The sequence below is a fragment of the Homo sapiens genome, chromosome 11 (genome assembly GCF_000001405.40).
Source record: "Homo sapiens chromosome 11, GRCh38.p14 Primary Assembly".
In the NCBI taxonomy this organism is placed as follows: Eukaryota; Metazoa; Chordata; class Mammalia; order Primates; family Hominidae; genus Homo; species Homo sapiens.
In genome coordinates, this window is record NC_000011.10 from 45,402,764 (window position 1) to 45,430,550 (window position 27,787).

Below are 27,787 nucleotides of genomic sequence, written 5' to 3' on the forward strand. Positions count from 1 at the left end.
AGAATTTTGAATCATTAGCATATTTGGTTATTTTGTTATTGATAACATTGAAGAATTAGATGAGAATTAAAAAATAACAGTACTAGAAATATAGGGGCTTCCAGGTCCTGGCTTCTATTCTCAGCATTCAGTCAAGAGTGAATATTGGGGCCGGGCGCGGTGGCTCACGCCTGTAATCCCAGCACTTTGGGAGGCCGAGGTGGGCGGATCACCAGGTCAGGCATTTGAGACCATCCTGGCTAACAAGGCGAAACCCTGTCTCTACTAAAAATACAAAAAAAATAGCCGGGCGTGGTGGCGGGCGCCTGTAGTCCCCGTTACTCGGGAGACTGAGGCAGGAGAATGGCGTGAACCCGGGAGGCGGAGCTTGCAGCGAACCGAGATCGCGCCACCTCACTCCAGCCTGGGCGACAAAGCGAGACTCCGTCTCAAAAAAAAAAAAAAAAAAAAAAAAAAAAAAAAAAAAAGAGTGAATATTGGAAGGGATCTAATTATAATTCAATAGTGCTGTCATAATAATGGACAACATTTGTTCAGAGCTGAGGTGGGAAAATGGAGTTTTCTATATTTAAAAAGAATCTGTTTTCTCTATTTTCTGTGAAAGATGCTGCATTCATTACTCGTGCTTCCTACCAGTATAACGGTATAATGGCATGCTTGAGAAACAAGTTAGGACATCAGTCTGTGTGTTCTGTAGTCTGGATTCTTTTTTTTTTTTTTTTTTTTTTTTTTTTGCCTCCTTGGTGTCTGCTCATTTTTCTAAGATCCAGATCAGCTATGGGCAAATTCACTGGGAATAGGATAAAGTGAAGGTCTTCTTTTTCTTTTCTCAGTGGACTAAAAAACTCTTAAGTGTTTCTTTTGTATTCAAACCCAAAACTGGTACAAAGTCCATTAAGAGAAGCCACAGCTGCAGAACATACTTTCTTCCCATTGTCAATGTCTTATTTCTTCCCTCAAGATTCACTTTCTGTATAGTCACCTCGAGGAATGACTCACTGAAGACATTAGGGATTGGGGAACTGCCATCCCCTCCTAGATTACCCAGACCAAATACTGCTTTTTCCTCAAATGCTTTCTCCTGCCATATAGTTTTGCTCTGTTTTAACTCTATAAGGGGAGCCACCAAAAACAATAGGCAGACTATCTTTACCTTGTGTTGATTAAAAGGTATCATTAATATGGGGAAAATGAGGACAACAGTTTGTTTCTGGAATACTCTTTGTTCTTTTATAGAGCTGCAGAGTGATCTGTTATAGAGAGACCCTCTAATTTAGCCAGTCCCCTATTGCTGGATATATAGGTTGTTTCCACTCTTTATCAGCATAAATCTTTAAGTTTAAATAAATCCTCTTCTTCCTCATTCACTCTTGACAGCACTTGTTTAAAGGGGCAAATGGTCTTGTTCAGTTGCAACCTCTGCTCCATCGCTACAGCTCCATGCTTCTTGAAGACACAGATCCTCTTCCCTTCCTCCACCTCTTCTAATACCCTCCCATCCCCAATTCCAGAAATCTCCAGGAGTCAACCTTGACTCCTCCATCTCCCTCCACTCCCACGCCCAGTACGTCCACTTTACTTCCACAGCACAACCCTATGCAGCTCACTCCTTCCCCATCACCATCCTCCTGAGTCCAAGGCTCCATCAGATTGGGCTGGGACCATTGCAGTAAACTCCTCTCCTGTTATGGAAATCAGACTGGGTCACTACTCTACCTGAAGCCATCGATGGCTGCCTAGTGCTCAGGAGATAAAACCCCCAAATCCTCACCACCACCCTGTCTCATCTCCATCGCTGTCCCCCTGCTCATTTCCTTATGATGACCTATCAAGCTCTGTCCTGTCTCCAAGCAGTTGCACAAACTGTGTCTTCTGCTTGAGCACCGTCCCCACCACAGACACCCTCCTGCTCCCCCTGACTCTCACTTCCCTGAGTCTCAGCTTACACAGCACTTCCTCACACAGGCCATCCCTGCCTCCTGTCTGAAAGTGCTCGCCCATCCAAAGCTCTCATCCCCATGGCTTGTCCATTTCCTTACATCATACATCATCATGTGTAATTACATAGTTGTTTATTTGTCTGTTTAATATCCATCTCCCCTACTAGAATATAAACTGAGGGCAAAGATGTGTGTCTTATTCACTGCTCTGTCCCTTGTCCTTCTTAGGGGACCTGACTGGTGTTTGTCAAATGAATGAGTGTTTGTGGGCCCCTGTTCTTTGCCAGCCCTTGTGCTCAGTACTGGGCATCCAAAGTTTAATAGGACCCACTGACTGCCCACCTAAAAAACAGAGATTTGCACCTTCCTGGTAATACGACCCAAGAAAGAAGAGTTAACTCTACCACAGAGAAAGTCTGGAAGGATAAGGGACATTTAATCAGTGAGGAAGAAGAGAATGGGCATTCCAGGCAGAGGGTACAGCATCAGCAAAGATCTGGAGACACCCAGCCTATGGTATGTTTGGGAGCTCGTATAGACCCAGGGAGCTGGAACACAGAGTATGCAGTAAGATGGGATGAAGTGATCTGGGAAATTTCACCGAAGTCCTACTGTGATGGGTCAAGGAGTTGCAATATTTTTGTTGTTTTCTATTTCTTTGTATCCCTAGACTTTCCCTCAGTACTGGACATACAGTAGAAGCTCAACAAAAAATACTAGATGTAACCCGATGAGACTAGATGTTCCTTCTGCTGTTAATGAAGAGGAAACCAACAATTCTAGATTCAAAAGTGACTTTCCTTGCGTCCTCTTCTGTCAAATATTTTGGAAATCCCTGTATTAGTCAGGGGAAGCTAAGCTGTAGTAACAGAGACCCCCTTTGCAAAATCCAGTATCTTAAAGAAAAATAATTATTTCTCTCTTTTACAATAGTTTTGGGCAGGTAGCTGATTTAGGGTCTCAGGTTCCTTCCATCTGTTTCTCCACAATTCCCCAGGGTATTTTGAACCTCTCTGTGGGTGAAGCTGGGTCTCACCCATGTCCTGGTTGTAGGCAGGAGGAAGGAGAAAGAGATTGAGATGGAGGTGGGCCCATTGTCTTAAAGGCTCCGGCTTGAATGGGGCATGCATCACTTGTGCTCACATCCCATTGGCGAGAACTTGACCTAACTGCAAAGGAGACTGTGAAGTGTAATCTAGCTGGCCAGCCAGGTGCCATAATTTTACTGCTCTGGAGGCAGGAAAGCATGGAATTTGGTAGACAGTGAGCCAGAGGAAGTCACTGTGGCAGCCTCCAGTTCACCATCATGGAGGAGCAGGTGGCCAGGTGCATGGCCTTTGCATGACTCCAGGTGCCCCATGCGTCTATCCCCCAGGGAGTGAGCCCTGAGCTCTGTTCACTGCCCCCAGCTATGAGGGAGAAGATCTTGGGGTTCCTCTGACCTCTGTCTGCCTGGTTCTTCTAACAGGGCTCTCTGTGGTAGGGCCTCTCCTCAGCCTTTCTCCTGTCTTTCATTCCTGACTGGTGATGACCCTGGTCCAGACCTGGACTTGGCCCTCCTGCTCTGAGAAGAGCCTTGGTCAGCAAATAAACACCTGGGGCCACATTCTAGTGGCCCACAGGGACTGTGGAACTGCAGAAACTCGTTTTAAGTGCTTGAGAAGTACCTTATATGATATAGAAACAAGCCATTAATTGCAAATCATTATTTTCCTGTGATTCTTACAGTTCCCCAAAGACTATCTGCCAATATTGCAGTAGCCCAATAGGGGTCACTGTATGTACCTAAAAGTAATAAACCTGCATTTTAAAATCCTGTAATCTAAATTCAACTTTTATTGGACTTTTATTACAAATAGTATAAAATCTCATTAATATTAAAATTAACGATAGCTAATATTTATTGAGCACTCACTGTGTCAAGCACTATATAGCACCTCAGAAGCAATCTCTCACTTAATTCTTACTACTCCTAGTGTGGAACACTGGGGGTTCGCATTTCAAATGCAGAAACTGAGGCTTAGTGAGGTTAGATGGCTTGACAAAGGCCACACAGTTAATATAGAGCAAAGCCATAGCCAGGCACAATGGCTCATGCCTGTAATCCTAGCATTTTAGGAGGCTGAACTAGGTGGATCAGTTGAGCCCAGGAGTTCAAGACCAGCCTGGGCCACATGGTGAAACCCCATCTCTCTACAAAAAAAAAAACAAAAAAAAAAAACAAAAAAAAAACACTTAAAATTAGCCGGGGCATGGTGGCACACACCTGTAGTCCCAGCTACTCGGGAAGCTGAGATGGGAGAATCACCTGAGCCCCAGAGGTCGAGGCTGCAGTGAGCAATGATTGTGCCACTGCACTCCAGCCTGGGCATCAGAGTGAGACCCTGTCTCATATAAAAGAAAAATAAAAAGAGCAAAGCCAGGATTTGACTCCATTTCTGCCTAACTCCAGAGCCTTAGTTCACCATGAAGCTGCTAGCCTAAGCAACATGAAAGTGACTTTCACTGAAAGCTGCATGGCACTCCACAGCTTCTCAATCCTTGCAACACCCCTGGTTTACCTCTATTCCCATTTCAGCTGAGGAAACGAGGTGCAGGAGGTCAAATACACACAGTAGGGAGCCATTCTTGTTGGCCGTCTGCCCCTGCATAAAGCAGGGGTCACCCCTGCCCTGGAGGGACAGCTCTCCTACGTGGGTGGGCAGCATCCTCAGACCCTTGGACCTTTCCACACTGCTTGGAAGGGAACCGATGGCCACTCTCCTTCCTGAGAGAAGCCAGCAGGACCTTGCTGCCCCATGATGATGCTGTCAGACCCTCCTCCCTCTGACTCCTCCCCAGGCCTTGCCACCCTCCCCTTGCCACCCTCCCCTCCCCTTGCTGGTCCAGGGCTGAGCCTTTATCCTTATCCTGGCCCCTATCTTGCTCTTTCCTCCACCCTCTTCAATCAGCACCTTGATCTTTGTAAACTGCTAGTGAACCTGATAATGTCACCTTCTGCCTAGAAACCTTTCATGTTCCCAATACCCGCAGAGTAAAGCTGCTGCCTGGCACCTAGGTCACCTAGCATGATCTGGCTTTGCCTCTGTTCCTGGTTTTTGTCTACTACCTCATCTGCCCCCTTCCCGCCAGCCCAATGGGTGCTCCCCAGCTACAGATAAAAAGAGAGAAGGTGGTGGTGGGGCCTGGAGACAAATTCGGAAAATTCTGTATTCTCCATGCCTTCTTGAAAAGTGACCATACATGCATATTAGTAAAGGCTCTGAAACCCTGCAGAGCAACGTGTTAAACTTTTATTCAACCTAATAGTCTCCATGTTTATTTGACCACAGAAGACACAGAAATCCATGTTAACATCGTGCACAGCAGCCACTTTGAAAATGCCCCTGTTTCCATATGGGACCACATTCCCTGCCCTTCATTTTGCCTCCCCACCCTCAACTCTCTGACCATCTCTCCCTGTTGAAATGTTTTAAGGCCCAACACAAAAGCCTCATTCCCCATGAAACCTTCCTGATTTCGCCCCAACTAGAGTGCTCTCCTCAACCTCAGCATTAGATTGGGCCTCTCCCTGAACTTGAACTGTAAAGTCAGCCAGAATGTGGGGTCACACGTGGTCTTTTGTCTTCTCCCTGAACATTGGGTGTCTTAAGGAAAGGGATTAAATTTTAGTTCCCTCTTCATATCTCAAACAGGGCCTGTCTCATTACAGGTGCCCTGGAACAGTCATTGAACAAGAACTGGAGAAGGAGATGCAACCTGTGAAAGGCAAAGTCTCCACCTTCTTCCACACAGCCCAGCTCTGGTTCCCACAGTCACCACTGTGGAGGGTCAGCCTGGCTCCCCAGCCCCAGAGTGGCCTGGCCTGACTCACTGATCATGCAGACAGGATGTCAGGATTCCCTGGAAGCTCAGGGGCAGGCCATAGGGACTCCACTTGCCACCCTGACTGACTCAATGTGTCCAGTCTGAGTGTCCCCTGAAGAAATACATCATCTGCCATCTGAGGGCAGGCAGCCAGGCACTGACCTAGGATCAGGCCTTCTCACTTGTAGCTGGCTGCCTCCATCCTTTTGAGCTGGGAAGTTGTGAAGAATTTGTTAAGAACCAGAAAGAACTTGTTTTGGGGACCACAGGCACGTGTCAGACCCAGGTCCCAAAGCCCTGGGCTTGCAGAGCCAGGTGGGCTGTGGGAATGAGACATGGCAGGGGCAGGGTTCCTGCTGAATTGGGAGAGCCCTGTCCAGCACCAGCCAGTGAAGCCCGGTGAGTTAGCACCCAGGAAAGCCAGACCTTCTGATTTGTATGTCAATCTCCTGATATTGAAAAATCGGCTCAAGACATTTTTTGACCCTGAAAGGTAAAGAAAACCAGGCAGCTGGTCCAACCTGTCCTGTGGCTGTCGGCTTGACCTTTGTGTTAGGTTAGCATCATACCAAGCCAAGTGCACAGGTCAAGGTGTTGTGTGAGATGCAGCTCATCTGGCACATGGGGGTGGGCATTTCAAAGTCACGGTTGAGTGGATGAGTATGTGAAAGCTGCGTATCCGTCATGGATTAAGTAAACAGTGTCGAATGTCAGGAGCCATATCCGAGTTTCATTTTTACAATCATGTCAGCATCGGGTGCAGGTTGCTCATGTCGGAGGCAGGCACGAGGTACGCACATCAGCCATATGGTAGGTGCTGCTGTGTGTTACATGTGTATGTCGGTATCAGGTGTGGGGCCTCGGTTCACATGCTCATGTAAAGCGTGCCTGGCAACCTGTCTGGTACCCAGCCCCTCCTCCCAGCACCCCACTCCCCTCTCACAGGAATGGCTGCCTCTCCTGCTCAGGGCCTGTCCAGGTGACATAGCGGAAGCCCCTGCCTTTCATCTCCAGCCCCATAAGGTTGGGAGCCCCAAGCACATCCCAGCTCAGGGAATAAAGAGGCCCCTTTGTCGGACGCTACAGCAGACTCCCTGGTCCCCTCCTCCAGCCCTACCTCACCTATCCGTGTGCCCCACTGACCACAATCGCACTCGACCTGAGTCATGCTCCCTGGAGAAGGGGCCTGATGTCATCGAGAGCTGGCAGAGGAGAGGCATAGACAGGCTGCTGCTGTTAAAAATGACACCTCTGCAGGCTGCTGTGATACTGTGTGTGGGCCAGCTCTGTCCTCTATCTTCTCCTCTCCCTGTGGCACTGCCCTAGCAGGGCCTGCCTGCATTGCTCATTGCTCCAGGCTTTATGTTTGGAGAAGAGAGAGAGAGAGATGAACTGGGGCCCAGGAAAATATGCAAGTGGGGGCTGTGCATGAGGACCATGGCTCTGCTGCTTACCAGCTCTGGGAGCTTGAGCAAATTGCTTAAGCTCTTCTTGCCTCAGTTTACTGCTCCGTAAAATAGGGATGGGATTGTTGTGATGGTGAGAAAAGAGCTTGTCTGTGACCATGCCTGGCACAGGCACACAGTAAGCTCAATAGATTGATCAAATATTCTCTTTTCTTTCTGGCGACTGGCAGGTCCGCATTCCAGGAAGAGGGCAGAAAGAAGTGGGAAGACTGTGCTTCTCTCTCTCTCCCTGTCTTTCTCTCCCTCTCTCATTTCCTCCTTCCCTTCCCTTTCCTCAGAGCAACAGAATGACCTGTCTCTCAGAATGAGCCTGGGCCCAGGGAGCTACATTCCCAACCTGCCTCTGAAAGGCAACCCTGGAGGGCAGGTCCTCTCAGCAGGCTTGGACACCCTCTGTCCCTCCATCTTCTCCCTTTAGGTTCAGACCAAGGCTGCGCCCTCACCCAATTGCCTTTATTCTGAACCTGCTGCAAGACAAGCTTCCATCTTCTGCAGGAATAAGTATGGCTGGAAAAAGTGCAGGCCAAGGAGTCAGCCCTGCACCTCCCTGGCCAGGGGCACTGCATACATTCCTGGCCTGGTGACTTCACGCATCTTTAGGGCAGGAAGAGTACCCTGGCAGGGCTGTTAGGAGGACTTGCTGAAATGACATTCTTAATGCTGCTAGTTCAGAGGGCTTTAGTCCACGTCCTTCACTCCTATAAATTTCCTTTCACTCTGTGCAAAGTGCAGAGGTTGTCAGGCAGCAGCTTCAGAGCCCCTGACTCCCCTGGGGCATGGTGGCCCTCACTGGATCTGCTTCCTCCCTCGAGGTGGGGGCCTTCCCTGTCTGTCTGTGAGTACCCTGGTCAGCATGTGGGTCTGTCTCTTGTCCGATTTCCCTTCCCTTGTCCTTATCACCCCTCCCAACCCGACCCCCGACCAGGACAATGCCAAGGTTTGCAGGAATTCTCACCCACACCCCGCCTCCACCTCCCTGCCCTTCCTCTCTGTGGGGAGCCCTCTGTGTCGCACAGAAAGAGAGCAGCAGATGTTAAAGCCGTGTTCCCTTGTCCGCACTCAGCCCGCTGGGGTGTTTGATCTCTGGCTTAACAAGTTCAGCCATTTTTCTGAAATGAGGAAAAGATTCAGACAGAGAAAGAGGGATGGAGACAAAGAATGAGAGAGACCATAAGATAAAATGATCCAGAGACTGAGAGGAAGATAGAAGAGAAAGACAAAGCAAGGCAAACACAGAGAGAAAGAGAGAGAGACTAGAGCAGGGACCACCTTCTCTTACAATCCTCACCTTCCCCCTTCCCCATTCTCCCACCTCTCACCTGACCTCCTGCCCTGCCTCCCACCCTGCCTCCCACCCTGCCTCCCAGGCCCTGATGACTGGTGACCATCAGCCTTGTAGCCACCATATCAACTCTGAGTGACCGTGCCCTCCCTGGGGGAGGTTACAGCCTCTCTCCTGTGTGACAGGGCATTTGCTTAAGATTCAAAGGCCTCTGATACAGAGGACGCTTCCCTCACAAGCTGGGAAGAGTAGCCCTGTGGTCCGGAGGGCTGGCTGGCAGGGGACAAATGGGCTGCCAGGATGGAGCCAAGAACTCCTGCTTTGCTCACTCCTGGGGCTGAGCAGCCTTTCAGGAGCACCCGGGGAGCCAGCAGTGAAGCCCTCCCTCACTCAGCATTAACTCCAAATTTATTTCTTGCTCTGCCTCTCCCTCCCCTCTTCCCTCTCCCCTCCTTTGTCTTCCCAGTATTCGATTTCCTATTTGAGAACCGTTCCAGCCTGTGCCACTGCTGAAATCCCATCCTCGGTAACCAGTGAAGGCTGTTTTAAGCCTGTGAGTCAGAGACCAGTGCTGGTTTTTATTAAAGGCAAAAGGAAAATAATCTGATTTTTAAAAAGCAAAACACCTTCTTAATGTTTCATGGGACATCAAACTGTCTGAGATAATATCTTAAAACACTCATATACACATGATAGCCCCCAACCCCTTCCCAGCCTCAGGTGGGAGTGTCAAACCTGCTTGGGTTATTTTTTTCCCCGGGCTAAATGTTTCTAGGTCACTTCCATCCTCCCCCACTGAGAGCTCCCATACAGGAAACGCTAAGGATTCCACTCCAGTCCCCGAGCCTCCATAATTAATGGGATCACTGGAAACCAGCCGGAAGGATGCTAGGGGCGAGGGGTCTTATCTCTCTGGTCTCCAGGCAGAGAAGCTTCTCGCCAGATGAGATGCTGAGTCTATGCAGGCCCTCGGGCCACATCTGCTGACACTGATCCAGCTCCTTACTAGCCCACCTGGGGCTGGCAGTCTCGGGGCCTCTTTCTCTTCCTGCCCCACCACCCTCTGGAGCTGTCTCTTTCTATAATTCTTCCCTCGTCGAGTCTATTAGCGTTCTCCGGCAGGCTCTGCCAAGCTCAGCTGCATCTCCTTGTCTAGTTTATATTAGAAGAGAAAGCTCTGGCGTGTTTTCCCCTTACCTGAGGAAAGAGATGCTTCTCTTTTTCAAGACACTCATAGCCTTTGATGAAGCCCAAGAAAGGCTTAAATTATAATGAAATGCAGTCATCTCCAGACGAGATTACCCGGGAGTGCTTCCGGCTGCCTTGTGAAAACGGCCTTCCAGCAGAAAGGTAGCTGGGTGCAGGGGCTGCCCTGGATGCCTGTATGGCCCTGTGTGCAGCTTGTCACCTGCCTGCCCCTCCTCCCTGCCTGGACTATTGCAGTAACCTCCCGACTGGGCTTACCACCTCCTGTTTACCTCCCCTCCCCTGCTGATTCTTTCCTGCTCTGGTCTGATCACTTTCCTTCTCAGAGACCTTCAGTGGCTTTTAAATTCCCAGTTCAAATGCCCCCTCCACTCCTTCACCCAGCCCTCCCAACACCTTCCAGGTGGGCTGCACTGCACCACCTCACTGACATCCCTGCCTACCACTGGTCTGGTCTGTAGCCCAGATTAAAAATAAAAACAAAAAACAAAAAACACTTCACTTGTCCTGCTTGGGATTATCATTATTTGTATATTTGAGAAAAGAAAGAAAATAGCCCATATGGACAAAGGCCCACCATGTGCCAGGTGCAAATGTCAACCTGCCTTGGAGTCACACAGACCTGGGTTCAAACCCTCACTCTGCCCACTTACAGCTAAACGCCCCAGAACAAGTTTACTCCTATCTCTGAGCTTGCTTCCCTATCTGTTAAATGTGACTAATGATACCTACCTCATAGGACTGCTATGGCGGTTAAGGAAGACTAAGTGCTGAGCACATAGTAATTGCTCAATAAATACTAGCTGCTCTGCTTTTTAAAAAAAATTCCTCATAATGACAAAGGAATGATTGGCCTGGTTTTATGGAGGATGAGGTGGTTCTCAACCTTGGCTATGTTTTAAAAACACCTGGTGTAATAGTCCATTCTCATACTGCTATGAAGAAATACCCGAGATTGGGTAATTTATAAAGAAAAAGAGGTATAATGGACTCACAGTTCCACATGGCTGGGAGGCCTCACAATCATGGAGGAAGGAGGAGCAAAGGCTCATCTTACATGGTGGCAGGCAAGAGAGCTTGTACAGGGGAACTGCCTGTCATAAAACCATCAGACCTTGTGAAATTTACTCACTGTCACGAGAACAGCACAGGAAAACCTGCCCCGTCTTTCAATTACCTCCCACTGGGTCCCTCCCATGAGACGTGGGGATTATGGGAGCTACAATTCAAGATGAGATTTGGGTGGGGGGAACAGCCAAACCGTATCACCTGTGGAGATTTATAAACTACACGTGCTGGGTCCCAATGCCCAGATCTCTCCTGGGATCACAGCATCTCTGTCTGCACAGGACAGGAATCACTGTACAAGGCACTGAAGAAGCAGAGGCCCAGGTAGGGCCTGGCTGCCTTGGACAAAAAGCCCAGGAGAGGGCATTTTTCAGGGGTCAAGAGATGGGAGTGGCCGGGCGGGATGCCTGGGCTTTGGAGTGAGTCCAGGGCAGCCTCACTGTTCAGCAGGGGTGGGTTGGGAGGGCTCATGGCACCATCTTGCCCTGTCACTGGGCACACCCAGTGCAGGGAGTGCCCGTGGGGTCTGAGGAGGTAGGAGGCTGCAGGGGAAGCCAGGCTACCTTGCTTGCCCAGAAACAGGCCAGTGACCACAGCAACTGCCTTCTGGTGGGGATGGGGGAGCTCAGGAGAAGCAGGAGCTAATTGAGGTTGTCAGGAACAAAGGCAAGCTTTCCACAGTTGAGAACAGAAGGGAAAAACACGCAGAGTTAATTAACTTCCTTCAATATGGCTGGTGCCTCAGGTCTTACAGCTGCCTGGGGTCTCACTCTGCCTTCCAAGAGAAGGAGATCATGGTGGCTGAATGAAAAACACCCTCAGACAGGCAGGACAGCCCTTCTTTTTGCTACTCATGTGCTCATTAATTCATTCGGTTATCAATCAACAAATCCATATCAAATGCCAGGCTCTGTGCTGAGGACTAGAAACAGCACAATATAGAGGCGTCCTCATGGAGTTCAAAATCATTCATTTACTTCCTCTTTCAACCAGCACACAGCAAACAGCTCTCAAGTGGGTCCATTGTGCTGCCTTCAATTGCTTTATTTATTAATATTTTCTCCAGTGCATTCATCCTGCCCCTCTCCTAGATCTGCCTTCTCTTGCCTCCAGTTCTTCCTCCTCCATTCCTCCCCTCAGCTGAAGGCCTTACTCGAGTTTACTTGGAAAATAGAAGCAATTGGAAGAGATCTTCCACCAGCTCCCCAGGTACCCACTTCCAGCACTTGTGCCTGCAACATCCTCTGCCTTCTCTCCCGTTGATGAAACGGATTGCCCATGCGCCTAAGGCAGCCCTTCCTTAGACCTGAGCCCCAGGTCCCATCCACTTTAGCTTCCTGGAGCACAGTGTCCAGAGAGTTCCTCTGCTTTATCCTGTATTGCCAATTTCCCCTCTTTATCTGGTCATTCCCCTCAGCATATGAACGTGCTGCTGTTTCTCCCTTTCTAGAAAGTTATAAAACATCTCTTGGCCCTACCATCTCAGCCAGCACTACTCCATTTCCTTCTACTTCTTTACAGCAAAACACCTGTAAGTAGTTGTCTCTGCGGGGTGTCTCCAGTTCCTCTTCTGCTCTGTTTTAATTCCACTCCAGCCAGCTTTCATCTCTACAGTTCCATTGGACCTGCTCTTACCAAGGACACCAAAGACCTCTAAGGCACCAAAAGCCACTCCTCAGTGCTCGTCTTACTTGACCCAGCTGCAGCATTTCACAGATTGATCACCACCTCTTTAAACCACTATTCCCTTGGTTCCCAGACACCACCCTCCCCTAGTTTTCTTCCCACCTCACTGGTCACACATTTCAGCCTCCTTTGTTGGGTCCCATTCTTCAATCTCTCACTTTTTTTTTTGAGGCAGAGTCTCACACTGTCACTTGGGCTGGAGTGCAGTGGCACAATCTAGGCTCACTGCAACCTCCACCTCCCGGGTTCAAGCAATTCTCTTGCCTCAGCCTCCTGAGTAGCTGGGATTACAGGTGCCTGCCACTGTGCCTGTCTAATTTTTTGTATTTTTAGTAGAGACGGGGTTTCACTATGTTGGCCAGGCTCGTCTCGAACTCCTGACCTTGTGATCCACCCTCCTCAGCCTCCCAAAGTGCTGGGATTACAGGCATGAGCCATCGCACCCCGCCTCGATCTCTTAATGTTGAGGTGTGCTTTGCGAAGGTTAGTCCTTGTTCCTGTTTATCCATTCTCACAGTTTTAAATATTGTCTCTATGCTGACAACCAAATTCATATCTGCAGCTCAGACCTCGCCACAAACTCCAGACTCAAATATCCAACTATTTAAACATCATCTCTTCTTAGTTGATATCTGATATTGTCTGGCTCTGTGTCTCCATTTAAATCTCATCTTGAATTATAATCCAAATTGTAATCCCCATGTGTTGGGGGAGGGACCTCATGGGAGGTGATTGGATCATGGGGATGGTTCCTCCATGCTGTTCTCATGAGAGTGAGTTCTCACGAGATTTGATGGTTTTATAAGGGGCTCTTCTCCCCTTCGCTCTGTACTTCTCTCTCCTGCTGCCTTGTGAAGAAAGATGAGTTTGCTTCCCCTTCTGCCATTTATTGTAAGTTTCCTGAGGCTTCCCCAGCCATGTGGAACTGTGAGTCAATTAAACCTCTTTCCTGTATATTTATGCAGTCTCAGGTAGTATCTTCATAGCAGTGTGAAAACAGACTAATACAATATCTCAAACTCAACATGTCCAAAACTCAATTCCTGTCTTTCCCCTATAATTCTGTTCCACCTACATCCTTCTCCAACTCAGTTAATGGCAACTCCATCTTTGCAATTGCTTAGACTAACACACCTCACTGTTATCTGGGACTCTTCTCTTTTTATCACATTCCACATCTATTAGGAAATGCTACTGACCCAATCTTCAAAATGCGCCCAGGATTCCACCAATCCTCCTCACCTCCGCTGCTGCTACCTGGTCCAAGCCAGTATCTCCCATCTGGGTTGCTGCAGTTGCCTCCTCACTGGTCTCCATAAGGCAGCTAACATTCTCTGTTACATCAACCTCTCTGCTCAAAACCATCCCTCCAATGGCTTTCATCTTGGTCAGAGGAACAGTGCCCATGAGGTCCTCTGTGATCCAAGTCCCACCACTGCCTTCCTCCCTCTCTTCCCCATGCTCAGTTCTTTCCAGGCATGCTCCTTCCTGTAGGCTTTTATACTTGCTATTTTCCTCTCCCTGGGACACTTTTCATGCTGATACTTATGTGGCTTTTTCTGTGGCCACCTTCATGTCTTTGCTCAAATGTTTACTTTCACAGTGAGGCCTTCCCTGAATGCCCCATTTAGAACTGCAGTGCTTGCCCCCATAGATTCTTTCTTCCCTCTTTTCCCCTTCTTTGGAACAGCATTCTTTACCATTTCACATGCTATATATTTATTTGTTGTCCATTTTCCTCCATTACAAAGTAGGCTGGTGTCCATTTTCCTCCATTAGAATGTAGTGGGTTGAATTGGACTCTGGCCCAAAATTATGTCCAAGTCCTAGCCTCTGGTACCTATGATTTCGTCTTATTTGGAAATAAGCTCTTTACAAATTAAGTTAAGGATCTTGAGATGGGTTCATCCTGGATTTAAGGAGGGCCCTAAATCCAATGACTGGAGCCTTATAAGAGAAAGGAGGCCAGGCGCGGTGGCTCACGCCTGTAATCCCAGCACTTTGGGAGGCCGAGGAGGGTGGATCATGAGGTCAGGAGATCGAGACCATCCTGGCTAACAAGGTGAAACCCTGTCTCTACTAAAAATACAAAAAATTAGCCGGGCGCGGTGGCGGGCGCCTGTAGTCCCAGCTACTCGGGAGGCTGAGGCAGGAGAATGGCGTGAACCCGGGAAGCGGAGCTTGCAGTGAGCCGAGATTGCGCCACTGCAGTCCGCAGTCCGGCCTGGGCGACAGAGCGAGACTCCGTCTCAAGAAAAAAAAAAAAGAAAAAAAAAGAGAAAGGAGAGAGAGAGATTTGAGACAGAGGCTCAGGGAAGAAGGCCACAGGAAGAGGTAGAGACTGGAATTACGCTGCCAAAAAATGCAAGGAGCTGCCAGAAGCTGGAAGAGGTGAGGAAGAACCTTTAGAAGGAGCTTGTTGTATCACTCCCAGGAAACTTAGTCAGGATCTTGATTTTGTTCACTGCTGCCTCTCAAGTTGTCCCACAATGCCAGGCAGAGTGGGCACACAGCACGTGTTGGATGACTGAATAAATTTCTTTCCACACAGCACTATGCTGAGCATTCTGAGAGAGACAAAAAGACAGGTGTGAGTCCCAGCCCTGTGATTCAGCAGCTGGAACCTGCATTGCCCCATTCCCTCATTTGTAAAATAGAGGAAAAATATTCTGTATCCTAGGGTGGCTGGGAAAACTGGATGATATGTAATAGGTGCTGGGTGAATCTTCCTCCTTCCCTAGCACCTCGGTGTCCTCATCTCTGAAATAGGGGGAATGCCCAGGCTTGTCCGACTTGGAGAACTGTTCTCAATATATTTTTAAAAATCAAACACCATTTAATGATCTGGGAAATATCCATGCTATATTGTTAAGTGGGAAAAAGCTAGTGACGAAATAGCATGTGCATGATCTATGCTTTAATAAATGAGCATGGAAGTGCAGCCAGCCCCTTGCGAGAAAGAAGTTTACTCAAGTGCCCATAGTCCAGGATCCTAATCATTCTTTGCTTTTTCCATTAACTTTTATCTCAACCTGTACAAAGTCCACATGGCATGGGCCTTGGAGAAGTCTTCTCACCTGCCCTCTCTCCGTCATTCTCATTTCCCATAACCCCCTCAGTCTTTCTAGTTTGTCTTTTTATTTCCTTCTGTAATGCTGTATAAATTTCTCCATAAAATCAGGCACATCTTTTGCTCAATTTATTCCTAGGTACCTTTCAGGATGTCTTGCTGTTTTGATAGTATTTTTTTATTACAGTTTTGAATTGGTTATTGCTAATGAACAGGAACACAATCTATGTCTATATATTGACCTTGAGTTCACCTCGCAACTGTGGTGAGCTCTTACTCATTCTTGGAGATTCTTTGGGATTTTCTATATAGGAATGCAAGTGAAGACAGATTTGTTTCTGATATGGTTTGGCTGTGTCGCCACCCAAATCTCATCTTGAATTCCCACATGTTGTGGGAGGGCCCCAGTGGGAGGTAATTGAATCACAGGGGCAGGTCTTTCCCATGCTGTTCTGTGATAGTGAATAACTCTCACAAGATCTGATGGTTTTTAAAAGAGGAGTTACCCTGCGCAAGCTCTCTCTTTGCTGCCATCCATGTAAGACGTGACTTACTCCTCCTTGCCTTCTGCCATGATTGTGAGGCTTCCCCAGCCATGTGGAACTGTAAGCCCAATTAAACCTCTTTCTTTTGTAATTTGTCCCATCTTGGGTATGTCTTTGTCAGCAGTGTGAAAATGGACTAATACAGTTGATTTCTAATTCTTATGCAATTTATGTATTTTTCTCTTCTTATTGCATTGATTAGGATACCCAGTTCAGTGTTGAACAAAATCAATGACAGAAATTTTGTTTATCTTGTTCCTGACTAGCAGAACTATGTCTAAAGTTTCATCATTGAATGTGATGTTTGCTTTAATTTTTTGATAGATAAAATTGAACAGATTAGGAAAGTTTGTTTATTTTCCTACTTTGCCAAAAGTTTGTTTGTTTTTATTATGAGTACATGTTGGAGTTTATTAAATATGTTTTCTGCATCTTTTGAAGTGATACTCTGATTTTTCTATTTAATTTGCTAGTATGCTGTATTATATAATAATTTTTCTGATATTGAACTAACCCTGCATTCCTGGGTTAAATATTACTTAATCATAGCATATTTTCAAAATGTATTACTGAATTATTACCTAATATGCATCTGGAATTTGACTGTTCAAGTTCATAAGTGAGATTCTTAAATAATAAGAAATGGTGCTTTGAACATCATATAACACTAAGTTTTTAGATATTTATTAATTATCTCAAAGAGCCTGGCCCAGGGAGAAGACTGTGCCTGACCAAGAGGCATGTCCAACTGCCCACATGGGGTGATGCGGGAGGCACCTGGCTGATGCAGTGCCTGAAATTCCACAATTCAGGATCCACTCATGATTCTGGTAGGTTTTTGGTCCCCAAAAATCCCATTTAAGATCCAAGATACCCTGAAAGTGAGTCTCTACTGAAGCTATTTCAGGATTAGCTGCCACCCCAAGAGATGGGGCAGAGAAGACCCAGGTCACCCACTTGGCCAGTCCCAGGACCACTCCCATGGGGAGATGACACATCAGGTAGCAGTATCCTTGCATCCAAAGGGGAAAATATGTCCATGTTCTTCACCATTATAGGAGTAGGGCTGTGGACCAGGGGTGGCTGAACTCTTTAAACTGATAAACAGAACTTGTTTCTAGCCAAGCTGCTCTACTACAAAATCAATAAGAAATATAATTTTATCCCTAGAAGACATTTTTCTGTCCAGAATCATGGCACCATTCCAGCTTTTGTTCCCAAGCAGCATTTTGTATGCACCCTGGAAATGGGACAGGACTTTCTGAGGATCCCAAGAAGTTTGGGATTGTGGAAGGAGCTTTGGCATTGGAGTAGGAGACTGGGGTTCAAATCCTTACTCCTCTCCTTGTTCTCTGTGACTCCAAGCCCTTGACTTCTTAACGTGTAAAACGGGAATAGTTATACCCTACCTTCTAGGGTTGTAATGAGGATGAAATAAAATAACTGGTGCCAGGTGACTGGTAAGTAGGAGGTGCTCAGTCAATTCCCTCAGTGTCCTGGGGGGAGTAAGGGCAATTCCATGACCTCAACAGTAATAAGGAGCGATAGAGGGAAGTTGTGTCCTACTCCTTCCAGCGGATCACTGAAAGCCCAAGCTCCCAGCAGATTCAGAGGAGGCCTAGGGGTGTCAGCTTCTAGGAGGAGACTTGGTTTGGGCTGGGGGCAGAGCTCTATGAGAGGAGTACAGGGACTGAGTTACCAGCTGCTTGGTTCCAGAAGAAAGAACAAAAGAACTGTGCCAGGAGCAGGAATTTAAAAGGGAGGAGTCCAACAGGATTTTGATAGATGCATCTGCTACCCTAGGCACAGAGCAGCCATTTCTCTGTCCATCCCACTCCCATGCTCTTCCTCCCCACTATCCATCCATTCACTCACCTACATAAGAATTAACTCGCCCATCTATCCATTTTCCCGTCATCCACCTATCTACCCATCTACCTAACCATCTACACATTCATCCAACCATTCATGTCTCCATTTATTAATACGAAGTGTGGTAATAACAAAAATCACAGTGACTAATGTTTATTCAGTCCTCTTTGTGCCAGCCACTGTTGGAAGTGTTTCCTAGGTATAATTTAGTCCTCACAATAAGCTTAAGAGGAAAGTTGTATTATTATTATTCCCATTCTGATAAGAAAGAAAACTGAGGTCCAGAGAAAAGGATTGATTTGCCCATGATTACGCAGCCAGGAAATACCAGAGCTGAGATTCAACCGAAGACATCTGGCTCCAGAGAACACACTCCTAACCAATGCATTGAATGGCCTTCCATGGACTTACCTACCCACCAACCACTTAGCCTCCATGTCTCTTACCCTTCCTCTTTTCAAACCCATGTACCCTCCTATTCTTTTCACCCAACACCCATTCTCCCTTCTTATCCTCTAACCACTCAGCCATCTTTATTCCCTGCTAGTTATCCATTCCTCTTCCTCTTCCTGATCCTCTGTGCACCCACAAGTTCATCAATCCATGTACCCACCCTTTTTGGCAAAACCTATCCATACTTCCATCTAACAACAATTTACTTGGCACCTTATAATCTAATGATGTTTAAAGAGAAATAAATTTAGTCCCTGACATCAAAGGCTCACTTTTTAGTGAGGAAAAGAGGGAGGTGATCCAATGGGTGTAATTAGATGGCATACATGCTAAGGAAGAAGTGGTGCCAGGATGGCATGGGTGCACAGTAGAAGGGCCCTTGACCTCTGGAAGAATCTCTGAGGATTTGGAGGCTTACCTAGATGACCCAGGTAGAGGAGGTGAGAAATGGTGTTCTAGGCAGTAGGAGCCTCCTCTGCAAAAGCACAGACCCAGCTGTTTCCTAGCTCTGGTGGAGCTGGTGGGAGGGGGCTGGTCCCTTCCTCTCTCATAGGCTGTGGGAGGAGAGTGCTGGCCAAGCCATGGGCAGACTCCTCTGAGTTCCCCCATGAGGATGGAGACAGGTCCAGTCAGGGGCTGGCCAGAACAGGGGTGTGGAGCCAGCATCTGAGCTGAGACTCAGGGCAGATCTCTGAAACAGAAGTCAAATCCAAGGTTCCTTTAAGACCCATTCACTACTTGGCTTCCCCTAGAGACACCCTGCATTTGCTATTCTGTGCACTTTCCACGTGTTTGCAAGTTTTGATTGAACAAACACTGGCTGGGGCACAGTGAACCCAAATAATTGTGTGCCTGTCAACGGTACATGTTAATTGGAGAGTTGTAGAGTCCGCAGGATGGGTCACAAGGGAAAAGCCAATTACTCCATGTACCTGTTTGAAAGGCTCCCGCTCCTGGATTCCTGACTGGCATTAGAAAGCTCTGTATTGGTCCATGTTATTGATTTTCCTCCTGCCTCAGTTGATGGGCTCGTTAATTGACAATTACCTTTTTCCCTGTGTTGGGAAAATTGACAACAACGACCCGAAGTGTTCAAGTTTCATTTGAGCCGAGCTAGGCCTTTACCTGTTTAACCTATAACAAGTCCCAGGAGGCAACTCTGGGGAGCGGGAGCCTCCAAGGAGGCACCAGGGATGTTCAGGGTGAGCTTGGGTGCTATCGGATGCTGACTAGGGCATGGAGCCTGCCAGGGCCAAAAGCCTGAGGGTGGAGTTGGGCCCAGGCAGACTGAGGCCTATACACAAAAGCTCCCATTGAGACCAATTCATGTGTGGCTCCAGCAGGCAGTGAAGCAGGGGATGGCTGTTTCCTGAACACCTACTATGCACCAGACACTTGCTCCTAATTGCACTCCCCATAAACTTTTAATATTACAGGTAAGCTCTATATCTGTTATATACTGTATGTATGCTTTATATGTAAAACAAGTAATATTTTTTGTTCTGTTCCCCGACACAGAAAACAAATTGTTGCTGTGTTAGGGGGCAATATCGTCCCCACTGAGAATGTATGGTGTAGAGAAACTAAGGCAAGGACCCTGGAATATAGATTTGGTGGGGCTGGGGTCCCACTTACTCCAGACACACTGGGTATGGGCAGCAGAGCTTGGTCAAGGATAAAGGCTTAGGCATCTGGCTTGGGTTCAAGTCTCTCCTATGGCACTTAATGTTTGGCTTAACCTCTCTGAACCTCAGTCTTCTCATCTGTTAAATGGATCTGGAAACAGGATTCACTTTCCAGTGGCTCATAATGGTAATACAATGAAGTAATGTATGTAGAGTGCTTGGCACACAGTAAGCTCTCAATAAATTACAGTGGCTACTATGGTCATTACTTCCGGAACCCACTTGGTGATGAAGCAAGGATTCTTGGCATGCTCCCTGCTCCTCAAGGGCACAGCTATATCTTATTCATCTTGGTGGCCCTGGCCCTTGGTGGGGGCTGGGCAGCATCTGTTGCTGTGTGAACCGTCAGCTCTTGGGCAGGTTTGTTCTGGCTCTGATCAGGCCAAACAGCAGAAGAAAAGATCGGGGACAACAGGGGCTGCCCACGAGAACCTGGGGGCCACGTGTTCCTCTGGGAACACCATGTCCAGCCACCAAAAGGAAATTGCTGTTTTAGCCTCTGCAGATGTGTGAGCGACTTCAGAGACTTCCTTAAACTTCCGCCTCCCTCTGAAGTTGCCCAGCCAGACCATCTGCCCAAGGCTGACCCAATGTGCCCAAGGAGTCTGACGTTTTCTGCTTAGATGGGGGAAAACCCCGTTATTCCCGTTATTGAATGCCTGAGGGTCGGGGCTTGAAGGCTCAGTGCTAGCTGGCACCAGTCTCCTCCTCTTAGCCCAGCCGGGAGGTCAGACACTCTGGCATGGGATCAACAGCTACCCTGCCTGAAGAGTCACGCCTCTCAGACCAAGGGGCAAACTTTACAAGGACCAAAACCTTCCCCAGAGCTCTGTCGTGGGAGGTGGCCACTTGAGTGTTGCCAGTACCAACGGGACTGTTGCCATTTTATAATAGCTAAAGTTTCTAATTCAAATTCAGCAGAGGCATTCCCTTTCCCTCCCCACCCCCACCCTACCCCAATTATGCCTGGCATTTGACACTGTGCAGCCTCTTGGAGACTTGAGAGTTTTCACTGTACACCATGGCAGAGAAAACACACATCATCACAAACCCACCCAGTAGGCACAAGCCACAGACTTGGCTGGGTGCACTGATTTTCAATTATTTTTAAGCTGTTTATCCCCTTCTTCAAGTGAAATCTTATGTGGAGGCCAATTTATATCCAACAGTTACAAATAGCCCTAATGTGTGACAGGAACAGAAATTAACCCGTGTGTGAATATCTCCAGCTTTCTCCCAGCCCATCCCTCTTGCTTTCCAGACAGGCCTCAAGGGTTCTTCTTTGTGTATGTGATCACTATAGCGAGCGAGAGGAAAGAGAAGTAGAAGAAGCCTGACACCTGGTTGCTCTTCTTCCCTGCAACTCCTTCTCCTCTCCCTCCCCCTAGACCCCAAAACTCCAAGGATGCAATTTGAAAGTTACCAGTTGGTGGTGATGGGTTCAAATCCCAGCCCAGCACTCACTAGCCAGATCACCAGGAGCAAGTCACTTTGCCTCCCTGAGCCTCTATTGGTCAACTGTTCAAAATGAGAAAAAGAATCTCGTTACCCTTTCTCACTGCACTGCCACCGGGACAGAATGGATCTGTCAGTGTGAGAACAAAGTCTGAGGGGCTGTCCTGGGAACTGGGAAATCACCCTGTTGAGTTTTGTGTCTTTTGGACCCTTTAAGGTGGCAGGTGGCAGAGGCAGACACTCCACTGACTGTTCAGGATGCCAAGCCTGGGAAATCCAAACTGCTTATGTTTTGCTTGGAGAAAATTTTAAAAAAGGAATAGCACTTTCCTTTCCCATTCCATGGAGCAGGACCTGCTTTGCGCTCTGTTCTGAACATTTCGTTCTCTGAGTTTTGAAAGTATTCCTGTTCTGGTTTTGTTTGTGATTCCTATTTCTGCAGAGGAGAAATTTCAGCCACTGGAGCGGTAGTTGGAGGCCTCTCCGGGGCTTTTTCTGGGGCTCAGAGCAAGATGGTTTTAGGTGCTGCCCAAACATCGCTCTCCCCTGGGTATTCTTCCATGACCCAGTCTTTCTTCCCGGGGGGAGGCAGCAGGGACGAGATTGAGGTCCCTCACTGTGCAAAGAGGTAGGAATTGATGAGTTTCTCTGCACAGGTCCTGGTGACACTTGTGTGGGGTCTGGCTCAGTTCTCATCCCACTTACAGTGAAGGGGCCTATGTGTGGGGTGGAGGGGCCTTCAGGATTGCCCTGCCTAGAAACCAGAAGAGGGACACCAGCAGGGCCAAGTGGAAGCCACTTGCTTTTGGCAATTTGGAAGGGAAGACACTATAGGGAACCAGTGACTGCCAAGAGTCTCCTGTTGCCATGCTCTGTTCTGGGAGCCTTCTAAATGGCAGCTCATTACATCCTCAAGTGACTCTGTAAGGCAAGCAGAATTGTCCCCTTCTGGGGATGGGGAAATAGAGGTTCAGAGGAGTTAATGACTTACCTAGGACCCCACAGCTAATAAATGTGGTCGAGCCAGGATGGACAGAAGCCAAGAAGAGACTATCACTCAGTGAGATGGGGGAGACATTGGGAAGGGGGGCTTCCCAGGAGCCAGACCAGGTCTTGGAATTCATGTGCCCACAGGTCAAGGTGATCTGAAGCAGTTGGCTGGGCTGATTAGTAGGGGGCATCATCCATGCTGACAATGATGGTTTTTTGAGGATTACTGAGTGCATGTTGGTGGGTAAGAGGAACTCTGCTGAGGAATCTGAGGAGGCTGTTTGAGCCCAGCTGGGAGAAATGAGGGGAGGAGGTGGGCCCAGGATATTTAGCAACGCTGCAGCCTGTGGAGTCACTGACCACACAATGTTATTGCTTATGTCCCACGGCTGTTCTACTGAATGAGAGGGTTCAGGTTGGTTCTTGCAGGTCTGATCTTGGTCAGGGATACGGTCCTCTCTTCTGTGCTACTATCACCATCACTCTAGAAGTCCAGAGCCCCTCCTTCTGGTTGGGGGAAGAGTTTAAAAGCATCCTGGACTGTTGGACTCTGAGTTGCCCCTTCAGGGGTGGGTTGGAGGAGGGCTGAGCAGTTTCCAGGCACCAATGGGCATCACCTCAGACTGGATGTTTGGCCAGGGACCTGATGACCCCATCCCCAGGTGGTCCATACGGACAATAATGGGAAGGGAACCTCAGCACTCATGTAGCTTCCTTGATGCTGTGACAGGCTTCCCAGTTCCAGCTGGGTTTCATGGTGCTTCCTAATCTCCCTGACCCTCCCCTTTTTTCTTCCTGTTTATTCTCATCTGTAGTAAGAACCTCACTCTGCAAAGGTGCACCCCAAAGTGGTTAAGAGCCTGAACCCTGGCGCTAGCTGCTGGGTTCGAGTCTCACCTCTGATACAGGCTGCTTGACTTTAGGCAAGTGACTTCATCTCTCTGCCTCAGTTTCTTCCTCTGTAAAGTGGAGATCATAATAGGATCTACCACGTAGACTTAGCTATGAGGATTAAGTGCCAAAACACTTGCTTCTTCTGGGACTTCACACTGTCCTCCAGGCGATGAAAACTCACAGATGTTACCCCCAGTGGATTCTCAGTGTAGGTGGGAGTGATAAAGTGAACTGGGCAGAGGAGGGTCAGTGCAAAGCAAAGGCCCAGAATGGAAGTGAGTAAATGGCCAGGGAAGATAGCAGTACCATGGGAGAGTTTTAAATCTAAATTCCAGGTTTACAAAATGCCAAGTAGAGCAAAAATATGGTAGGTCTAGAGCAGGGGTGTCCAATCTTTTGGTTTCCCTGGGCTACATTGGAAGAAGAATAATTGTCTTGGGCCACACATAAAATATACTAACTCTCACGACAGCTGATGCACTAAAAAAGAAAAGAAATCACAAAAAACATCTGATAATATTTTAAGAAAATTACAAATTCTTGATGGGCCGCATTCAAAGTTGTCCTGGGCCGCATGCGACCCATGGGCCGTGGGTTGGACAAGCTTGGTCTAGAGCCTAACCCAGCATCAGGTTAGATGGTGGAGGATTGGACAGGAAGGAATGATGAGGAAGGTACTCCAGGAGGCGAGACCTGCTGGGGCAGAAGCATGGAGGCTGGAAACCCTGGGGGGAATCCAAGGAGGAGCACCTCTGTGGTTGAGGCTGACAGCGGGTCCACGGAGGGGCGTTAGGTAGTGCCCAGCACAGAGGTGGTTTTGTGGGCCAGGCACCATGTTAGCAGCTTGCCAGGATCATTTCACGGACTCCTCATGCTAACTCCATGAGGCCTATCACGATCTGCATTTTGTAGAGCAAAACAGCCTCCAAGAGGCTAATTCCTTGCCCAAGATCCCTCAGTAAGTGGTGGGTACAGGCATCAAGTCTGTCTGTCAGTCAGTCTGTCCACAGGGCCACTCACCTTCCCAGTACTCCACACTATCACCCAGGTAATGCGAAAAGAGTCATAGAGAATGAAGGGGAAGCTAATTTGGCCCAAGCCCCAAGGACTTGGAGAACTCAAGAGGGGCATTTCAACTTTAGCCTTCTTAGGGCAGGCCAGCCACCAAATGGGGTCTCACACATTTGAAGTGTCCACAGATATTAATTGGCAACCTGGAAATCCGGGCTGTCAGCCACTGGTTTTATATCTACGGAGAAGGGGCTGACTTCTATATGGTTGTCCTGCTCATCTCCCTATTCTCCTGCCTGCTAGGAGAAAAATTGTCCCTGGACCCACTTTCTTACCTGCACACTTGCTCTCGCACATCAGGTACCATGCTATTGATTCTGGTATCATCAAGGCTTGCCACGTTCCAAATGCCAATCTTCTTTTCCTTGTTGGGCCCCTAATCTTTTAGAGCAGCAGTTCCCAACCCTGGGCACCAATGAAAATTAACATAGGAGCTTTAACAAATACTCATGCCCAGGCCTTCTAGTCTGCATGAAGGCCCAGGCACTAAGCATTTTATTTATTTTTTCTTTTAAGACAGTGTCTCTCTCTGTCACCCAGGCCGGAGTGCAGTAGCACAATCATGATTCACTGCAGTTCGATCTCCCGGGCTCAGGGAATTCTCCCAATTCAGCCTCCCGAGTAGCTGGGACCATAGGCACACACTGTCATGCCTGGCTAATTTGTTTGTATTTCGTAGAGACAGGGTCTTGCCATGTTGCTCAGGCTGGTCTCGAACTCCTGAACTCAGGTGATCAGCCCACCTTGGTCTTCCAAAGTGCTGGGATTATAGACATAAGCCACCTTGCCCCACCAGGCATAAAAATTCCCCAAAAAGAAGCACCGCTTTAAAGAAATCCCTTGGAATATGCTGCAGACCCCCTAAGCACTGCCGGGGGTTTCCTTTCCACTCACATCAGCGTGTTCCATCCTATTAAAGCCCACAGAACACAAATCAAATGATTCCTGCTGGCCAGAGAATGGGTCTTTGGAAAACAGAGCTGAGGCTTGGTGCTTGCGTCCTGAGGCGAGTTCTAACTGTGTCCCTGCCAGTTCAGTTTCTGTGGCTTCAGAGCCATCGGTACCAGCATTATTCCTGTGCCATCTCACCCACGATATCCAAAGCCCCACTGAGACTTTTATTGTCCACTTTATATTGTTGAACAGGAGTCTTCGATGCTTGTGGTCGTAATTTTAAAATATTAAATTACATTGAGCATTAAGGGCTATGTTTTCTGTTAGGAGACAGGTTAATTGCGGCTCTTCATCTTTAATTTTGAGATTTAAGCTGGTTTCCCATTTAGCTCTAATTGGTAGTGTTCCGGCAACCCTCCCTGACCTCTGAAGCCTTTGATATGGTTTAGAAATCCTTTTATGGAAGCCCCTTTTTCTTTTGTCCTGCACATTTAATAGATTTGTATTTCCTCAGTCATCTTTCCTTCTGTGGAGATATTTCAAAATCACACCATGAGTCTGCAGGGAATAAATGCCTCCTTTCCAGCAAATATATATATTTTTTAACAGCGATTGGCAAAAGAGAATTAATTGCCTCCATTCACACACACCTCTTCCTTGCTGTGTTCCATTTTCGTACGGAGATTTTTAATCCTTTCTTCTGTAGCCAGTGTGAATTTGTCTGTGAATGCTCACGCTCTTAAAGTGACGTTCTGAAATAGACCTAAAGAGAGTATCCACTCCAATCACTCCATTTTACTGATAATAATATCACCATAATCATGCTTTATGTGTCAGGGGAGAGCACTTATTGTGGGGAGAGGGACAGGGGGTGGTAATGAGCCCCTTGTCCCTGGAGGAGTTCAAGCATAATTTGGAAGCAGCTTGTCAGACATATTGTAGAAGCAAATATAGCATAAGAACTAAGAGGTTTTCTGTCAGGAAGACCTGAATTTAAATCCCTGCCACTCCCTGAGCCTTGAGCAACTTAGGTGTCATCTTGAGCCTCCATCTCCCAGTCTATAAAATGGAGTTAATAATAATACTTACCACATAAAGCTATGGTGGAACTGGGTGAAATGATACCTGGCTCTTAGTAAGTGCTCAGTAAACGCAGGTTGCTGTTATTAAATGTTATAGATGGCATCCAGGCTTCAGTGGTCAAGAAAGGGTAGGAAGAGGGAAGACATCAACAAAGCGAGGTTTTTAGAATTATCTTCAATCCTCAGAACTCAACAGCCTGTTAGAGTTTACAAAGTGCTTTTTGTTTTTGTTTTTGTTTGTTTGTTTGCTTGTTTTTTGAGACAGAGTCTCGCTCTGTCACCCAGGCTGCAGTGGTGCCATCTCTGGAGTGCAACCTCCGCCTCCTGGGTTCAAGCTATTCTCCAGCCTCAGCCTCCCACGTACAGATGCTCGCCGCCATACCTGGCTAATTTTTGTATTTTTAGTAGAGATGGGTTTTTGCCATGTTGGCCAGGATGGTCTTGAACTCCTGACCTCAAGTGATCCGCCTGTCTCAGCCTCCCAAAGTGCTAGGATTACAGGCGTGAGCCACTGCACCCGGCCAGAGTTTACAAAGTGCTCTCATGCCTGTAATTTCAACTTATCTTCACCACTGTCCTTTACCCAGACTAAGTGTGGAGACATGGAGGCTCAGAGAGGTGAAGTGCCTTGCCCAAAGTCACACAGCATACAGATTCAGACATACCCTTCCTTCGTGCTGCTTTCACAAAACTCTGCCATCTATCTGTTCTGTGTCCTTCTGCTTTATCATGAGGATATTTCCTAAGATCCCAGGATCTGCCTTTGCACAGTGGGCATGCTCTTTGTCCTCCCAGACTCTTATTCCAAGGGAGATGTGTGCCAATTTAAATGCAGGACTTGGAGCTGTTTCTTTTATTCCTAAGTATGTAGGGCAATCAAGCAGTCCAATAATAATAATACATAATGTTGGATACTCATAATGTACTTGTTTCATCTGGCAGCCTTAGAATTTTAATTTGATACAAGGACCATTATTACTCTATATTCATTAAATCCCATGTTAACCTCTTTTAAAAATGCATTTTCTGACAATCATAGAAGACAATTTTACATGAGGAAAGTCATTTAGGGAAGAAGATCTGCTCAATAGGTTTTTCCTAGCCTGATTATGGGCTGGGCTGACCACCTCACCCATACCCCTCACTTCCCACATTTTCTATCCCACAGTTCTAGTCTCCCCTGGCAGAGTTTAACAACATCAAGTACAAGTGGCCATTCTCATGGGGGACTCCTGGATGCATCTGTAGGAGGGGCTTCCCA

The 27,787-nt window shown here is 47.6% G+C and overlaps 3 annotated features.

Moving 5' to 3' along the window:
- Positions 8,363 to 9,023: an enhancer, noted in NCBI's record as "H3K27ac-H3K4me1 hESC enhancer chr11:45432676-45433336 (GRCh37/hg19 assembly coordinates)". NCBI's record gives its function as "activates a minimal SCP1, AML or CMV promoter by ChIP-STARR-seq in primed H9 embryonic stem cells {active_cell/tissue: H9 hESC(primed)}" and the evidence as "EXISTENCE:reporter gene assay evidence [ECO:0000049][PMID:30033119]".
- Positions 9,024 to 9,685: an enhancer, noted in NCBI's record as "H3K27ac-H3K4me1 hESC enhancer chr11:45433337-45433998 (GRCh37/hg19 assembly coordinates)". NCBI's record gives its function as "activates a minimal SCP1, AML or CMV promoter by ChIP-STARR-seq in primed H9 embryonic stem cells {active_cell/tissue: H9 hESC(primed)}" and the evidence as "EXISTENCE:reporter gene assay evidence [ECO:0000049][PMID:30033119]".
- Positions 20,147 to 20,647: an enhancer, noted in NCBI's record as "H3K4me1 hESC enhancer chr11:45444460-45444960 (GRCh37/hg19 assembly coordinates)". NCBI's record gives its function as "activates a minimal SCP1, AML or CMV promoter by ChIP-STARR-seq in naive H9 embryonic stem cells {active_cell/tissue: H9 hESC(naive)}" and the evidence as "EXISTENCE:reporter gene assay evidence [ECO:0000049][PMID:30033119]".